The 17,752-nt window shown below is 46.3% G+C and overlaps 1 protein-coding gene across 9 annotated transcripts in view; it reads right to left on the bottom strand.

Annotated features, from left to right (window-relative positions):
* The window catches only part of WIPF2 (WAS/WASL interacting protein family member 2), a 64,833-nt gene that overhangs the window by 10,865 nt on the left and 36,216 nt on the right, over positions 1-17,752 (bottom strand). For 5 of the 9 annotated variants that reach the window (XM_005257083.3, NM_133264.5, XM_005257084.3 and 2 more), the window contains exons 2-5: positions 16,750-16,881; positions 12,605-12,737; positions 10,631-10,747; positions 8,126-8,782 (exon numbers count right to left, since the gene is read on the bottom strand). In XM_005257083.3, coding sequence (XP_005257140.1) covers positions 8,126-8,782; positions 10,631-10,747; positions 12,605-12,737; positions 16,750-16,812 — 970 coding nt within the window. In that variant the 5' untranslated portion in view covers positions 16,813-16,881. The remainder of the gene's footprint in view (positions 1-8,125; positions 8,783-10,630; positions 10,748-12,604; positions 12,738-16,749; positions 16,882-17,752) is intronic. The other 4 variants (XM_047435499.1, XM_011524412.1, XM_047435498.1 and 1 more) reach the window with 2 other exon arrangements.

The raw sequence follows: 17,752 nt of genomic DNA, 5'->3' as shown, positions 1-17,752 counted from the left end.
CCTGAGCTCAGCAGTTGGAGACCAGCCTGGGCAACATGATGAAACTCCATCTCTACTAAAAATACAAAAAATTAGCCCGGTGTGGTGGCGTGTGCCTGTAGTCCCAGCTCCTCAGGAGGCTGAGGCACAAGAATCACTTGAACCTGGGAGGTGGAGGTTGCAGTGAGCCCAGATTGTGCCACTGCACTCCAGCCTGGGCAACAGAGAGAGACTCCATCTCAAATACATAAATAAGTAAAAAAATAAAGTCTCAAAGCCTTTGCTTACATAGTAACCTACCACACCAATCAGCTTGAGCTTGGCTTCTCCTCTTCCCTTCTTATTGCTAGGCTAGGTTAGGAGCCCTCCTCTGCACTTCCACTGCAGCTTGTGCATACCTACCACTTGAATAGACTATTATAATTATTTATTCTGTGTGCTCTTTCCCCAGTATACTGTGTACCCCTTGATGTCAGAGCAGTTCCTCCTTCTGGGTTCCCAAGTTCAGCCAAATGTACAGCACACAGCAGGTGCTCAATCAATGTTTGCTGAATAAACCAAATTATATGCTTTGCTCTTGTGACTCCCCTCACAATATTCTGATATCCCCCCTTCCCTTACTACCAAATCCTCCCTACCCTTCAAGGTTCAATCCAAGTCCCATCTTCTCAAGGCTTTCCCAAAGCAATCCATTTTCTTCTGAGTCCCTCCACCTCTGCTCTCCCACAGCATATACAGGCTATGTCACTTACTCTAATATCAATGAGCGATTTTCAAAATATATACAGCAGATTCATTGTGGGAAGTTACATATGTCCAGTAACAGTCTCATTGCTCAAACACTGCAAACACCTCTTTTGGAATTGCCTCCAAAGCAAGTTTATCAGTCAGAGCTGTAAACACTATTATATGATGGTCACATTTCATTTCTGAGGTCGCCCCACCACCATCACCAATGAAAATATTCATACCTATGCCAGGCACGGTGGCTCACGCCTGTAATCCCAGCACTTTGGGAGGCCGAGGCGGGAGGATCACCTGAGGTCGGGAGTTCGAGACCAGCCTGATCAACATGGAGAAACCCAGTCTCTATTAAAATACAAAAATTAGCCAGATGTGGTGGTGCATGCCTGTAATCCCAGCTACTCGGAAGGCTGAGGCAGGAGAATTGCTTGAACCCAAGAGGCGGAGGTTGCGGTGATCCAAGATCGTGCCATTGCACTCCAGCCTGGGCAACAAGAACAAAACTCTGCCTCAAAAAAAAAAAAAAGAAAATGTTCATACCTATGTCTGAATCTGCTTTTTGGTGATTCCAAAAATCAAATTCACTCTTAAAAGATGAAAATTTGCCACCAAGTAGAAGGTAACGTCAAAAGCATGTGTCAAGAAATGGCAATATGACTGGAATATAATAGATTCTAACGTGTTTGTCTTACTCCTATGCTCTGTATTAACTAACAATAATAGCAGCTACCATTTATTGGGTATCTATTATGTTCCAGGCATTTTCGGTGTATTAAATCTTTAAAAAGTCTTATAGCCACACATGCGAAGTATGTAATATTATCCCCATTTCACAAATGAGAAAACTGGGACTCAGGTTATTTGTTTAAGGTCACAGATCAAATAAAAATAGGCAAGGCACATGTCTGCTCTTTCTACTCTCCCACACTGCTTTTCGTAACTCCCAGTATTCTGCATAGTATCTTCCCAACCAGATTTACAATCCAGTGGCTTGGAAGTGCATCTTTTGGTATCTAGGCCATGTTCAATTTTTTTTTTTTTTTAAGAGACAGGGTCTCACTCTGTCACCCAGGTTAAAGCGCAGTGGTGGAATCATAGCTCAGTGCAGCTTCAAACTCCTGGGCTCAAGCAATGCTCCCGCCTCAGCAAAGGGCTGGGATTATAGGCATGTGCCACAGCACGTGGCCCAATAAATAGTTGTGACCTAAATAGTATGTGAAGAGACTACTCAGCTTAACAGACAAAACTGTTTTTAGTAGTAAAACGGTATCTTGGCTAGGCATAGTGGCTCACATCTGTAATCCCAACACTCTGGGAGGCTGAGGCAGGCAGATTGCTTGATGCCAGGAGTTCGAGATCAGCCTGGGCAACATGATGAAACCTCACCTCAAATTTTAAAAAAGTACAAAAATTAGCCAAGCGTGGTGGCACACGCCTGCAATCCCAGATATTCTGGAGCCTGAGGTGGGAGGAGCTTGAACCTGGGAGATGGAGGCTGCAATAAGCCAACATCGCGCCACTGCACTCCAGCCTGGTGACACAGCAAGACTGTCTCAAAGAAAAGAGTATCTTATTATTCCTCCTGATTACTATCAGAATTGCTGTAGTGACTATAGTTAAGCATGTAACACAGTAATAGAATAACATACACACACACACACACACAATCTGGCACAATAAGCCCAATAAATGTTTTTGCTTCCCGTAAGACACACTCAGAATGTCAACTCTTCCTCACTGTTTCCAAGCTTTGTTCAGTAGAAACAGGGGACACTAGATGCAATAATTAAAGAGAAATCTTGTAACTCCCAGCAGATCTCTGAGCCTTGTTTTGATTCCAAATCTACTCAAACTAAAGCTCTTTAAGAATAGAAGCTTCTTTAAGCCCTCAAAAATATTCCCTAAAACCCAGATTCCTCAAGGCCCTGAGAATTTGTATCTACTCCTAGGCCAGGGCAGCAAGGTAAACAGGGTTAGCCAGGTTCACAAGGACACCGACACCAGCTAGACACCAGGCAGGTGACAGCGATGAGACGACCTGGAATGGCAAAATAGAGCAGGGTAAGAGTGATCTGTTTGGCTTCTCCAGCTCCCTCCCTCATCCCAGCCAGGTTCTGCTGTCTCCAATAAGCTTCTGGGCTCTTTGTCAGATCCAGTTATTTTTCTTTTTTTTTTTTTTTTTTGAGACGGAGTCTCGCTCTGTCCCCCAGGCTTGAGTACAGTGGCACGATCTCGGCTTACTGCAAGCTCCGCCTCCCGGGTTCATGCCACTCTCCTGCCTCAGCCTCCCCAGTAGCTGGGACTACAGGCACCCGCCACCACGCCCGGCTCATTTTTGTATTTTTAGTAGAGAGACAGGGTTTCACCGTGTTAGCCAGGATGGTCTCAATCTCCTGACCTCATGATCTGCCCGCCTCAGCCTCCCAAAGTGCTGGGATTACAGGCATGAGCCACCGCACCCGGCCCCAGATCCAGTTTTAAGACTGTTTCAAGTGACAGAGCCAGAACTCCAGTCCCTAAAAAACAATTTCCAAAAGAAGTCCTGGGATGGGAGACAGGCTTTTGTAATCCAAGATTAACCCTAATTTTGAGAAAAGTATGATGGTTTCTATTTTTCTCAAATTCCCTTAAAAATGGACAGTGTTGGCGGGTGCAGTGGCTCATGCCTATAATCCCAGCACTTTGGGAGGCCAAGGCAGGCGGATCACAAGGTCAGGAGATAGAGACCATCCTGGCTAACATGGTGAAACCCCATCTCTACTAAAGATACAAAAAAATTAGTCGGGTATGGTAGCGGGTGCCTGCAGTCCCAGCTACTCGGGAGGCTGAGGCAGGAGAATGGCGTGAACCTGGGAGGTGGAGCTTGCAGTGAGCCGAGATCGCGCCACTGCACTCCAGCCTGGGCGACAGAGCAAGACTCCATCTCAAAAAAAAAAAAAAAAAAAAAAGACAGTGTTTTACTCTGCAAAGAAAAAATTCTTGAAACAAACTCTATGAACCAATAATGCTAGTTTTTGGGTTTTGGGGGGGCGGGTTTTGAGGCAGGGTCTTGCTCTGCTGCCTAGGCTGGAGTGCAGTGGCGTGATCTCAGCTCTCTGCAGCCTCTGCCTCCTGGGCTCAAGTGATCCTCCCATCCTAGCCTCCCAAGTAGCTGGGACCACAGGCACACGCTACCACGCCTGGCTAGGTTTCTTAAATTTATTTTTATTTATTTATTTATTTATTTTTTGAGACAGAGTCTCGCTCAGTCACCCATGCTGGAGTGCAGTGGTGCAATCTTAGCTCACTGCAACCACAATCTCCCGGGTTCAAGCGATTCTCCCGTCTCAGCCTCTCGAGTAGCTGGGATTACAGGCACCCGCCATCATGCCTGGCTAATTTTTGTATTTTAGTAGAGAGATGGGGTTTCACCATGTTGGCCAGGCTGGTCTTGAACTCCTGACCTCAGGTGATCTGCCTGTCTCAGCCTCCCAAATTGCTAGGATTACAGGCGTGAGCCACTGCACCCGGCCTAGTTTTTTTATTTTTTGTAGTAATGGGGTTTCACCATGTTGCCCAGGCTGGTCTTGAACTCCGTCTCAAGCGATCCTCCTGCCTCAGCCTCCCAAAGCACTAGGATTACAAGTGTGAGCCTGTGTCCCTGACCCCCACTGTACTTTTCAAATGTACATTTTACAGGTGAGAAAAGAGAATCGGTGAGAAAAGAGAATCAGTGATCTGTCCAATGTCACACAACAAATCGAGGCAATACTCAAATGATCTCTGACTAAAATATCTCAATTTTTTTCTGGTTTATCACTCTTAAGAATTGCTGCTCTAGCCAGGTACAATTGCTCACATCTGTAATCCCAGGGCTTCGGGAGGCCAAGGTGGGAGGATGGCTTGAGCCCAAGAGTTTGAGTCCAGCCTGGGCAACACAGACCTCATCTTAAAAAATAAAAATAAAAAAAAATTTTAATGAGCCAGACATGGTGGCAACACTCCTGTAGTCCTAGCTACCACAGAGAAAGAATGGAAAAGTGGGAAGCAAGAAAGCCTGCAGACATTTAAAAGTGCTCAGCTCAACCCACGGAAATTGCATTTTTCTCTTCTTCTATTCCTGGATGAGGTCAGAAAGATATGAGCTTTGCTCAGACAAAGAGTCTTTTGTAAAATCCCTAAGTTAAAAAAAAAGTCAAACCTGAACTTTATAGAATCAAGGGCCACCTTAGCACTACCTCATTATGGCTAAAGCTAGGGAGATATGGGATCAGGAATGCAGTAGGCCACTGTTTGGCTGCCCTATGTTAGATGGCCAGCTGCTAGAGTACAAATCTGTATGTACTGAACAAAGAAGCTGCACACAGGTTAATGGACTTTTAATGCCTTGCTACTTAATGATATAACCTTTACCCTTTTTTTGGGACAACGTCTTGCTGTGTTGCCCAGGCTGAAGTGCAGTGGCACTAATACAGCTCACTGCAGCCTCCACCTCCCAGGCTCAAGTGGTCTTCCCACCTCAGCCACTCAAGTAGCTGGGACTACAGGCATGCACCGCCATGCCAGGCTAATTTTTTAAAATTATTTTTTGTAGAGACAGGGTTTTGCCATGTTGCCCAGGCTGGTCTCGAACTCCTGGGCTTAAATGATCTGCTGGCCTCAACCTTCCAAAGTGCTGGGATTAAGGCGTGAGCCATCATGCCCAGACTCCATGACATAACTCCTTAATCAATGTTCTATACCTGTAGAAACTGACTTTAAAATAAAAGCTAAGGGCTGGGCGCAGTGGCTCACTTGAGGTCAGGAGTTTGAGACCAGCCTGGCCAACACGGCGAAAACCCGTTTCTACTAAAAATACAAAAATTAGCCAGATATGGTGGCACATGCCTGTAATTCCAGCTAGTCAGGAGGCTGAGACACAACAATCACTTGAACCTGGGAGGAAGAGGTTGCAATGAGCAGAGATTGCACCACTGCACTCCAGCCTGGGCGAAAGAGCAAGGCTCTGTCTCAAAACACAAACAAACAAATAAATAAATAAAGGCCAAGAAGCTGTTTGTGGAGGGTATGTCTCAAAGTCTAATGATACAACGATATGGGAGCCAAAATTCCCATGTCCAATAAGGCCCCAGAGAGCTGTCACGGTCTCCCTCACTCTAAAATTTCAGTTATGCTAATTATAACGAGATTACACAACCTCTTCTTTTTCCAGGGTTCCTAAATTCCCTCCTCACCCAGCTTAGGCTCCATTATTGCAATCACTCCCTCACATACACCCTTCCCTTCCTGCCCCACTCTCCCTTAGAGTCGCACATGCCTAAAACATGCTAACGCTGGTTAAACACAGCTCTACTCTTTTTCTGTACCTGCAAATCACAACTGAACACATGAGACTAATTAATCTCACATGAAATGTATGGCCCATAATCTCAAGTGGGCCCTTCGCGTGGTTGCCTATCTGAGCACACTTCCCTAGTCCACCCACACTCCCACGCTCCAGATGACCATTTCATGCCTCTTCTCTCTCCTCAACTCTCCTTCTCCTTCCCTCGCCTCAATCACAGCTGATGCTCTTGCTTTCCATTTCACTGAGAAAACAGAAGCAAATTAGAATAAACTTTCCACATGCTTCTACCACTACACCCACCTACCCACTTGCTTCTAAGCCTATATGCTCTGCCTCCCCTCTTGTTACTATGGAAGAACTATGTTCCTATCTAAGGCCAACCCTTTTTATCTATCGATCACATTCTCTTTTCTCTGGCCTCCTCCAGGTCATTATTCAGGCAATCTGTTCCCTCTCTTCTGATTCAATTTTTTCCCTCTCTCCTAAGTTTCATGCTACTCATTCCATCAGCATACAAATAGGTCTCCCATCTTGGGATGGGAAAAAAACAACTCTCAACCCCACATCTTCGTCCAACAATCACTTCACTTATCTTCACCCCTCTCTCCTGGACTTTACAGCGAACTCTTTAAGAGATTTCTATATTGCTATCTCCAATTTCTCTCCTCCTATTCCTGCATTCTTGAACCCACTCCAATTAAGCTTTCACTTTCACCCTCCACCACTCCACTGAAACTACTCAAAAGGGTCCCATGATACTAAGACCAATGCCAGTTCTTGGTCTTTAACTTACCTGACCCATCTGCAGCACTGGGCACAGCTGACCACTTACTCTACCTTGGAGTTTTTCCATCACATTCTTGGTTTTTCTCCTTCCATCCTCACTAGAAGCTTTTCTGTTTCCTCTGCTGGGTATTCTTCATCTCTTTTGCCTCTAATGTAGGAGGGCGAGGGCTCAGCCCTCATTTTTTTTTTTTTTTTTTTTGAGATGGACTGTCACTCTGTCGCCCAGGCTGGAGTGCAGTGGCGTGATCTCGGCTCACTGCAACCTCTGCCTCCTGAGTTCAAGCGATTCTCCTGCCTCAGCCTCCTAGGCCTCTTCTTATCTATATTCACTCCTTAGGTGACTTCATCCAGCATGTGGTTTTCAACACCATTCAAATGTATCTCTCTAGCCGAAACCTCTCCCCTCAACTTTGGAGTCTGATAGCCAATTACCAATTCATTGTCTCTTCTTGATTACCTAACAGGCATCTCAAACTTGTCTCAAACTGAACACCTATCTTCCCACAAATTCACAGTAGTCCTAACCATCTGGCCGTTTACTGCAACAGCCCAGTAACTGGTCTCCTTTTGTCACCTTTGTCCTCCTGCGGTCTGTTCTCAACATAGGAGTTAATGATCTTTTTAAAAGGTGAATCAAATCATACTACTTCTCTGTTTAAAACCCTCCAGTGGCTTCCCATCTCACACAGTTAAATCCAAGGTCTTTGCAAAATCCTGCAGTGCGCTCTCCCCTGCAGCTCCAGCTTTCCAACCTCCAAGTCCTACCACTCTTCCCTCCCCTCACTCTTTGTAGTCTTGCCACAATGGCCCCCTTGCTGTCCCCAAAATGTTTCAAGAATACTTCTGCCTTATGGCCTCTGCATTTGTTGTTCCCACTGCCTGCAACAGCTGTTCTCCTAGATAACTACTAAGCTTACTCGTCACTTTCTTAAGGTCTTTGTCAAATTTTCACCGTATCAGTAAGGACTGTCCTGACTCTCTCCCCACTCCTCCAATTAAAGATATCATCATCCCGACCTCCGCCCCAGTATATCTTATTCCTCTCCTCTGCTTTGTAATTCTCTAAAGCATACTGCATACTATGTATTTATATATTTTACTAGTTTGACTGTCAAATTTTTTTGTCTTTTCTATTTATTGCTATTTCCCTACCAACAGACCTGACACATAAAAAGGTACTCAATAAACCCACTGAGTGAATAAACGAATTACTGTCTTCAAGGAGTGCTCTGGGGAAAGATAAAATCAACTCACAGCATGATAGGGAAAAAGGTGCTTCCAAGCACTTACCTGCTCCCCGACTGGGAGGGTCTCGGGCTGGGGGAGGTGGCCTATTACTCAGTAAAGATGGGGAGGCCGAGGTGGGTGGAGGAGGTGCTAGGCCTCTGACAGGCCCTGGTGTCTTCCTATGCAAAGAATTGTGTCTCTGTGGCAGCTCAGGGGCTGACTCATTAGTGGGGCTAGAGGGTCCATTGGGGACCCCAGGAGGCTGGCGGTAAGGCGGAGGAGGAGGAGCCAGAGACTGGCCACTTGGTCCTGTTCTGATATTCACAGGGGAAGGAGGTGGTTTGACTGGGGGTGGAGCAGGAGGTCCCTCTCGACCAGGGTGAAGCCTTTGTCCAGGCGTCGGTGGCAAGGGTTTCTCTCTGTTGTAGGCGGGGGCTTTGCTGCTGTGCATAGGCAGAGGTGTGGGGGGTGCGTTGGCACGCCGCCCTGGGGGTGGTGGGGGAGGGGCAGAGGAGCTGTGCTTCATGCCCGTACTGCTGGTGGTATTAGGCCGAGAGAGGTCCGGTAAAGAGGGTCTCTGCATCCGGGGCAGTTCTGGGAGTGAGGCCCGGCTGCTGTCTGTATCATCCTGAGGACGCCCGCTGGCGGCAGATACTGGAGGCCTTGGGGCAGCAGCTCGAGAACTGGGGATTTGCAGGGCTGGCTTACCAGCTAGGTTCTCTACAAATACATAGACAACACAGGGTCAACAGAGCTGGACAGATATTGGTCAGTATCCCTACTTCACTCGGCTCCTTAGTGCAACCTGCATGGCAGCAGGGAAAGGAATTGAATAATTCTGGGTTTTTTGTTTTTCTTTTTTTTTTTTTTTTTTTTTTTTTTTGAGACGAAGTTTCGCTGTTGTTGCCTAGGCTGGAGTGCAATGGTGCAATCTCAGCTCACTGCAACCTCTGGGTTCAAGTGATTCTCCTGCCTCAGCCTCCCGAGTAGCTGGGATTACAGGTGTGCGCCACCACACCTGGCTGATTTTTGTATTTTTAGTAGAGATGGGGTTTCACCACGTTGGACAGGCTGGTCTCGAAATCCCAACCTCAGGTGATCTGCCCACCTCGGCTTCCCAAAGTGATGGGATTACAGGCGTGAGCCACCACGTCCGGCCTAGTTCTGGGTTTTAATACGGTTTCAGGCTCAGGATACACTGTTATTTATTTTAAATGTTACTTTATTTTTGACAAGTAATAATTTTATGTATTTATGGGGTACAATGTCTCGTTATATGTATACGTTGTGGAATGATTAAATCAAACTAACATATCCATCACCTCACATATTTTTTTTAATGGTGAAAACACTTAAAATCTACTCTACAACAGGCGCAGTGGCTCATGCCTGTAATCCCAGCACTTTGGGAGGCCAAGGTGGACAGATCACTTGAGGTCAGAAGTTTGAGACCAGCCTGGCCAACATGGTGAAACCCCGTCTCTACTAAAACTACAAAAATTAGCCAGGTGTGGTGGCCTGTGCCTGTAATCCCAGCTACTTGGGAGGCTGAGGCAGGAGAATGGCTTGAACCCAGGAGGCGGAAGTTGCAGTGAGCCAAGATGGCACCACTGCACTCCAGCCTGGGCGACAGAGCAAGACTCCATTTGCGGGGGGGGGGGGGACGAATAAATAAAATAAAATAAAATAAAATATACTCTTTTAGCAATTTTGAAATATACATTAAGTATAATAAGGGGTCGCCAACCCCTGGGGCCATGCACCTGTACAGGTCAGTGGCCTGTTAGGAACAGGGCACACAGAAGGTGAGCGAGCAAGCATTACTGCCTGAGCAACGCCTACTGTCAGACCAGCAGCAGCATTAGATTCTCATAGGAGGGCGAACCCCATTGTGAACCGTGCATGTGAGGGATCTAGGTTGCATGCCCCTTATGAGACTCTAACTAATGCCTGATGATCTAAGGTGGAACAGTTTCATCCTGAAACCATCCCCCGCCCACCATCTATGGAAAAATTGTCTTCCATGAAACCAGTCCCTGGTGCCAAAAAAACTGGGGACTGCTGCAATAGATCACTAAAACTTACCCCTCCTGTCTAACTGAAACTTTGTACCCTTTGACCAACATCTCCCCTTTCCCAATCCCAACGCCTACTGCCCCCAGCCTCTAGTAACCAACATTTCACTCTCTACTTCTACGAGTGAGTTCAACTGTTTCAGATCCCACATATAAATGAGATCATGCAGTATTTGTGTTTTTGTGCCTGGCTTATTTCACTTAGTATAATGTCCTCCAAGTTCATCCATATTATCAGAAATGACAGAAGTTTCCTTCTTGCCTAAGGCTGAATAGTATTCTAGGGTATATATGCCACATTTTCTTTATCCAAGTTGCATCCACTTTCATTTAATCCCTCAGCTTTTGCTGTATTCTATTCTATAACTCCTCCCCTACTCCCAAGTCTTTCTTCCCCCCACCTCTACCATACTCCTCAACCTGAGATGGCCCACTTGGGACATCAGAAATTAACACACCAGGGAAATACCCTGGGAAAGTACTCATCAGATACCTGAACCATCCTTGGCTCCCACAGGTCGAAGCTTCAGCACTCCTCCTTGGAAGAGACCTCCCTTGGGCTGCAGGGCAGCTCCTCCAGAGCCATAGCCACCACTGCTTCCTTTCGGCTCTGGAAAGCATACCAGTAGGGTTTTCATTTCACATGCTCTCAGCTGGTGACCAAGTAAATCATGAGGGGAAACCACTCCTCTATCTGGGCTATCGCTTGCAAACAAACCAGTCTTGTTTTTGCCCTTCTATTTAAAAAAGCAGGCCTGGTACAGTGGCTCATGCTGCTAATCCCAGCATTTTGGGAGGCCAAGATGGGAGGATCACTTAAGCTCAGGAGTTCGAGAGCAGCCTAGGCAATATAGTAGGACCTGACTCTACAAAAAATTTCAAAAATTACCCAGGCATGGTGATGCATGCCTATATAGTCCCAGCTACTCGGGAGGCTGAGATGGGAGGCTCGATTGAGCCTGGGAGGTCGAGGCTGCAGTGAACTGTGATCGTACCACTGCACTCCAGCCTGAGCAACAGACAGAGCAAGACCCTGTTTCAAAAAAAAAAAAAAAAAGAGAAAAGAAAAGAAAAGAAAGGAAAGCTAGGCCTCTCTGCTCCACAGCTTTGTGTAGGGATGAAACTCTGTTGTGATGAAAGAGAAAGAACGAGTGAAGCCAGGCGTGGTGGCTCACGCCTGTAATCCCAGCACTTTGGGAGGCGGAGGCGGAGGCGGGCGGATCATGAGGTCAGGAGATGGAGACCACAGTGAAACCCCATCTCTACTAAAAATACAAAAAATTAGCCGGGTGCGGTGGCAGGTGCCTGTAGTCCCAGCTACTCGGGAGGCTGAGGCAGGAGAATGGCATGAACCCAGAAGGTGGAGCTTGCAGTGAGCCAAGATCGCGCCACTGCACTCCAGCCTGGGTGACAGAGTGAGATTCTGTCTCCAAAAAAAAAAAACAAAAAAAACCAAAAAAAAAAAACAACAACAACAAGTGGCCGATCTTCCTTTATTCAGGGCAAAGGGATAAGGGGGTTAAATAAATGTTTGGGGGGCCAGGCACAGTGGCTCATGCCTGTAATCCCAGCACTTTGAGAGGCTGAGCAGGTGGATCACCTGAGGTCAGGAGGTCAAGACCAGCCTGGCCAACATGGTGAAACCCCGTCTCTACTAAAAATACAAAAAATTAGCCAGGCGTGGTGGCACGTGCCTATAATCCCAACTACTTGGCAGGCTGAGGCATAAGAACCACCTGAACCTGGGAGGCGGAGGTTGCAGTAAGTGAGCTGAAACCGTGCCACTGCACTCCAGCCTGGGCAACAAGAGCAAAACTCAGTCTTTAAAAAAAAAAAAAGAAATGTTCAACATAGTTATCTGGGCTCTTCTCTCCACATCTCAGATGACAGATAGAAGGCTAAAGAATCAGGGACCAATACGTGAGCACTCTCCAGAGGCCTACAGGAATGGACACTTGTAGCAATCATAAAATCAACCTTGGTTTCAGTCAAGAGGTTTCCAGGAATGTGACAGTGTCCTCAAAGGACAGTCAAGGATGTACCCTGATGAGCATTAGTTACAGTAAGAGATGGCAGCCTTTTTTTTTTTTTTTTTTTTTACCTTTTTGAGAGACAGGGTCTTGCTCTGTTGCCCAGGCTGGAGTGCAGTGGCGCAGTGACATGATCACAGCTCACTGCAGCCTTGAACTTCTAGGCTCATGCAATCTTTCCACCTTGACCTCCCAAAGTGCTGGGCTTACAGGCATGAGCCACCATGCCCGGTGAGATGGTAACCTTAATCCTGAGATGCTCTCCAAGAGTCAAGAAGAAACTTCTAAGGTTCAGAAGAATGAATAAGAAGAGAGCCAAAGCACATCCCAGGACAAAACTCTCCCACTCAAGGCCCAATAAAAATAAGAACCCAGCCAAGTCTCCAAGTCACTCCTGGGATCCTGCCAGTTCACTAGGAAATGAAGCTCGGACTCACTCTCGAGGATGGGAGCACTCCGATCATTAATGTTGGTCACCTTCTTCAGCTTGGTCCCTTTGCAAATGTCCTGTAAGAGGGCGCCTCGACCCCGCTGCTCATCTCTACTCAGCTTGGGCTGCTCTGTGTTTGCCTGGAGGATAAGAGAAATATAAGTTCACCCTAAAGAGTTCCCTTTATCGGCCGGGTGCGGTGGCTCACGCCTGTAATCCCAACACTTTGGGAGGCCAAGGCAGGTGGATCACTTGAAGTCAGGAGTTCCAGACCATCCTGGCCAACATGGTGAAACCCCATCTCTACTAAAAATACAAAAACTTAGCTAGGCATGGTGGCACATGCTGTATCCCAGCTACTCAGGAGGCTGAGACAGGAGAATCGCTTGAACCCAGGAGGTGGAGGTTGCAGTGAGCCGAGATCACACCACTGCACTGCAGCCTGGGCAACAGGGCGAGAATGTGCCTGCAAAAAAAAAAAAAAAAAAAAAAAAAGTTCCCTTTATCACAAGCTTGGGATAAATGACTTAAAGCAAACTGGATTCCATGAGATGTCTATCTAACCTCATTAGATATACATGCCAAAGAGCAATATCAATGTGCATTATCCTTCTCAGTTTTTCCCCTCCTGTTCTATCTTCTGTGAAGGAACTCCATTTCCTTCTTATTCAGAAGCTTCTGATGGGAGGCCTGCAGTAATACTTAGTTATCTTTGTGCTAGTCTGCATGTTAAGACACTATGTATGTTAGACATTTAATGCGTATCATCACCATCAAGGCAAACATTTAGTGAGTCCCTACTATGACTTAGGCACTGTGGTAAGCACAATATTTGCCTTAGCTCATTTAAATCTCTAAACCTTCCCATGAGAAAGGTATTATTATCATTGTCGCCATTTGGAAAGGGTGGGCCAGAAGCTGAATAGCTATCTAAGGTCATGCAACTAGTAAACAATAAAACAAGAGTCCAAACTCCAACAGTGACACTAAAAACTCATATCCTATCTCAACTAACATACCCTACTGTCTCCCTATTACTTCAATTTAACCTCTAAATAAAGTTATACAGTAAACTATATTATTCCCATTCCAAAGATGAGAAAACAAAGGTTTAGGACAGTTAACGTCACATCATTAATAAACAAACAGCCAAGATGTGAATGCTCTGATTGCCTCAAAGCCCCAGGCCTTTTCCACCCTCTGATTGCTTTTTTTGCTTTTTGCTTTTTTTTTTTTTTAAGACAGAGTCTTAGATTCTACCATCCAGGCTGGAGCACAGTGGTGCGATCTCGGCTCACTGCAAGCTCCACCTCCTGGGTTCCCACCATTCTCCTGCCTCAGCGCCCCCAGTAGCTGGGAAATATTTCAAGAACTCCTCATGATCGCCAGAAGAAAAATCTAAACCCTCAGCTTACATCTCCAGCTGCATCTGCTACCACATCCCCTCAAGCAATAATCTAAACCTCTATATGCTTTCCTAAAAATCAGCACGAGGCCGGCCGGCACAGTGGCTCACACCTGTAATCCCAGCACTTTGGGAGGCCCAGGCAAAAGGATCACTTGAAGCCAGGAGTTCAAGACTAGTCTAGGCAACAAAGTGAGACTCTGCCTTTACAAAAAAAAAAAACTTATCTTTTTTTTTTTTTTTTTTTTTTTGAGACAGAGTTTCAAGTGCTGGGATTACAGGTGTGAGCCACTGCACCCGGCCTAAAAAATTTTTTTTTATATTAGCTATATGCAGTGTCATGCACATGTAGTCCCCTCTACTTAGGAGGCTGAAGCAAGCGGATCACTTGAGCCCAGGAATTAGAGGCTGCAGTGAGTTATGATCACAACCACTGCACTCCAGCCTGGGTAACAGAGTGAGACTCTGTCTCATTAATTAATTAATTAATACCAAATCAGTATCTTTCCACATTCTACTTCCTCAACTTCAAGTGCCCTCCCTCCCTCCTCTCTTTCTGGCTAAACTCTACTCATGGCTTAAGACTCAGCTCAAGTATCACCACCTACCTAAAAGCCTTCATTGACTGCCTCCTCTTTCTACCCCCAACATCACCATACAAGCTCTGCTTTATTTTTTTGAGACAGAGTCTCGCTCTGTCATCCAGGCTGGAGTGCAGTGGCGCGATCTCGGCTCACTGCAACCCTGACTCCCTGGTTCAAGCGATTCTCCTGCCTCAGCCTCTCGAGTAGCTGGGATTACAGGCAAGCGCCACCATGCACAGCTAATTTTTGTATTTTTAATAGAGATGGGGTTTCACCATGTTGGCCAGGATGGTCTCAATCTCCTGACCTCGTGATCTGCCCGCCTCGGCCTCCCAAAGTGCTGGGTGCAATCTCTGCCTCTGGGGTTCAAGCGATTCACCTGCCTTGGCCTCCCAAGCAGCTGGGATTACTGGCGCTCAACTACCACACCCAGCTAATTTTTGTATTTATAGTAGAGATGGGGTTTCACCATGTTGGCCAGGCTGGTCTCAAACGCCCGACCTCAGGTGATCCGCCCGCCTCGGCCTCCCAAAGTGCTGGGATTCCAGGCGTGAGCCACTCGTGCCCGGCCAAGCTCTGCTTTTATCTCCTTCATTTATTGGGCTTCCACACAAAACTTCATCTAAAAGGCAGTTCATACATACTCCTAAAACAAAATGTCTAAAAACTACAGGTTATGAAAACAAACAGAAGTGGGTAGACCTGAACTCTAGTCCTAGTTCAGAAACAAATTAGATAGGCAAGTCACTTTTCCTCTTCGGGGTACAATTTCTCAACTGTTAAACACTTAACATACACATATAAGCACACATACACACCTATGCGTGCACACATACACACACCCATGGCCTATTCTTCTCTGAAGTCACTTTTACTTCCAAATTTTACAAAAATAGAATGCATACAGGTTCCTTTCCTCCTTTCCTTTTTTTTTTTTTTTTTTGAGATGGAGCCTCGCTCTGTCGCCCAGGCTGGAGTGCGGCATGATCTCAGCTCACTGCAACCTCCGCTTCCTGGGTTCAAGCAATTCTCCCGCTTCAGCCTCCTGAGTGGCTGGTATTACAGGCGCTTGTCACCACACCTGGCCTCAAGCAATCCACCCACCTCAGCCTCCCAAAGTGTTGGGATTACAGGCGTGAGCCATCGCGCCTGGCCTCAGGTTCCTTCCTTCTCATGTGACACCAGGTATCACAATCTAGGTATGGCTAAAGTAGCTTCCTGCTTGGTTCAAAAATCACATTGCTTTTTTTCCTATTATTGAATCTTTCAGTCTTCGAACCAATACATTCCAAAAACTCCTTTCCTTCTTGATAAGGTGTTCAACTTGATGGACTTGGCTTTAAAATGAACTGATTTTGAATAGAAGAGATGATGAAGTGGTAGCAAGAAACAACCACTAAGAATCCTCAAGCCGGGCGCGGTGGCTCACACCTGTAATCCCGGCACTTTGGGAGGCCAAGGCAGGAGGATCACAAGGTCAGGAGTTCAAGACCAGCCTGGCCAACATGGTGAAACCCCATCTCTACTAAAAATATAAAACTTAGCCAGGCGTGGTGGCGCGTGCCTGTAATCCCAGCTACTTGGGAGGCTGAGGCAGAAGAATCGCTTGAACCCAGGAGGCAGAGGTTGCAGTGAGCCGAGACCGTGCCACTGCACTCCAGCCTGGGCGACAGAGTGAGATTCCGTTTCAAAAAAAAAAAGGAATCCTCACCACTTTTCTCAAAAATGCCAAAGAAACAACATACTAACTTTTATACAGCAAATAGTTTTAGGGGAAAACACTAGCTCCAACTCCAACGCCACCTGTCCAAATCTCCATTTAGAGTGAACCAGGACAAGGAAACCAGACATGCCATTATGATCCTAAGAGGACCTCTCAGGAATCAGAACCAGCTGAAAAAGATGGACTTGTTTATTCTCCACCTTCCTATACCACATGTCATTGATTATACACTATGTCTTGTACAAGGAAGCCCTAAGTATCCTTTAATACTAGGAATAACAATCTGGAATGTTAAAAACAGAATTAAAGAATAGGAATGCTACTAGTAGGAAAATCTAGAAATTTTAACCAAAAGGAGTTAAAAGAAAAAAAAAGTATGTGAGGACCATCAACCTATTTACTCAAAGGTTTTGAGATAGCCTAATGGAAGGACTACCTACCTGATGAAATGTGGGAGGTGGAGGAGGACCAGGTGGGGGTGGCGGGGGAGGAGGAATTGGCATTCTTGCCCTGCTCCCAGTTGGCACTGTTCTCTCTCCGTCTTTATTTGTACCTTTAGGTCATTCATATACCTGCAAATGAAAAAGAAACTCATTAAGAACAGCTTTACCATTAGATACAAGTGCCCAGGAGAATGAGAGAACTGGGCATGGTAATCAAAAGAGACTGAACACCTTATCTTTTAGTTCCACTGTGATACAGTCCAGGGCTTGGTAAATCTGTTTAAATCAATTGTTTTAATTTGCAATTTCCTAATGACTTATGATGCTGAACATCTTTTCATATGCTTACTTGTCATCTGTTTATCTTCTCTGGTAAGGTGTCTATTTAGGCCTTGTGTCCTTTTTTTTTTTTTTTTTTTTTTTAAAGACCCTGGGACTCTCTCCATTGCCCAGGCTGGAGCACAGTGGTGCAATCATGGCTCACTGCAGCCTAGAACTCCTGAGCCCCAGCAATCCTCCCACCTCAGCCTCTCAAGTAGCTGGGACTACAAGCATGCATGTCATTACGCCCAGCTAATTTAAAAACAATTTTTGGGCCAGGCGCGGTGGCTCATGCCTGTAATCCCAGCACTTTGGGAGGCCGAGGCGGGTGGATCACGAAGTCAGGAGATCGAGACCATCCTGGCTAACATGGTGAAACCCCGTCTCTACTAAAAATACAAAAAAGTAGCGGTGTGGTGGTGGGCGCCTGCAGTCCCAGCTACTCGGGAGGCTGAGGCAGGAGAATGGCGTGAAACCAGGAGGCGGAGCTTGCAGTGAGCCGAGATGGTGCCACTGCACTCCAGCCTGGATGACAGAGCGAGATTCCGTCTCAAAAAAAAAAAAAAAAAATTTAGGCCGGGCACGGTGGCTCACACCTGTAATCCCAGCACTTTGGGAGGCCAAAGTGAGTGGATCACCTGAGATTGGGAGTTCAAGGCCAGCCTGACCAACATGGAGA

This window comes from Homo sapiens, chromosome 17 (genome assembly GCF_000001405.40).
Source record: "Homo sapiens chromosome 17, GRCh38.p14 Primary Assembly".
Classification (NCBI taxonomy): domain Eukaryota; kingdom Metazoa; phylum Chordata; class Mammalia; order Primates; family Hominidae; genus Homo; species Homo sapiens.
This window is presented reverse-complemented; position numbering and strand designations above follow the sequence as displayed.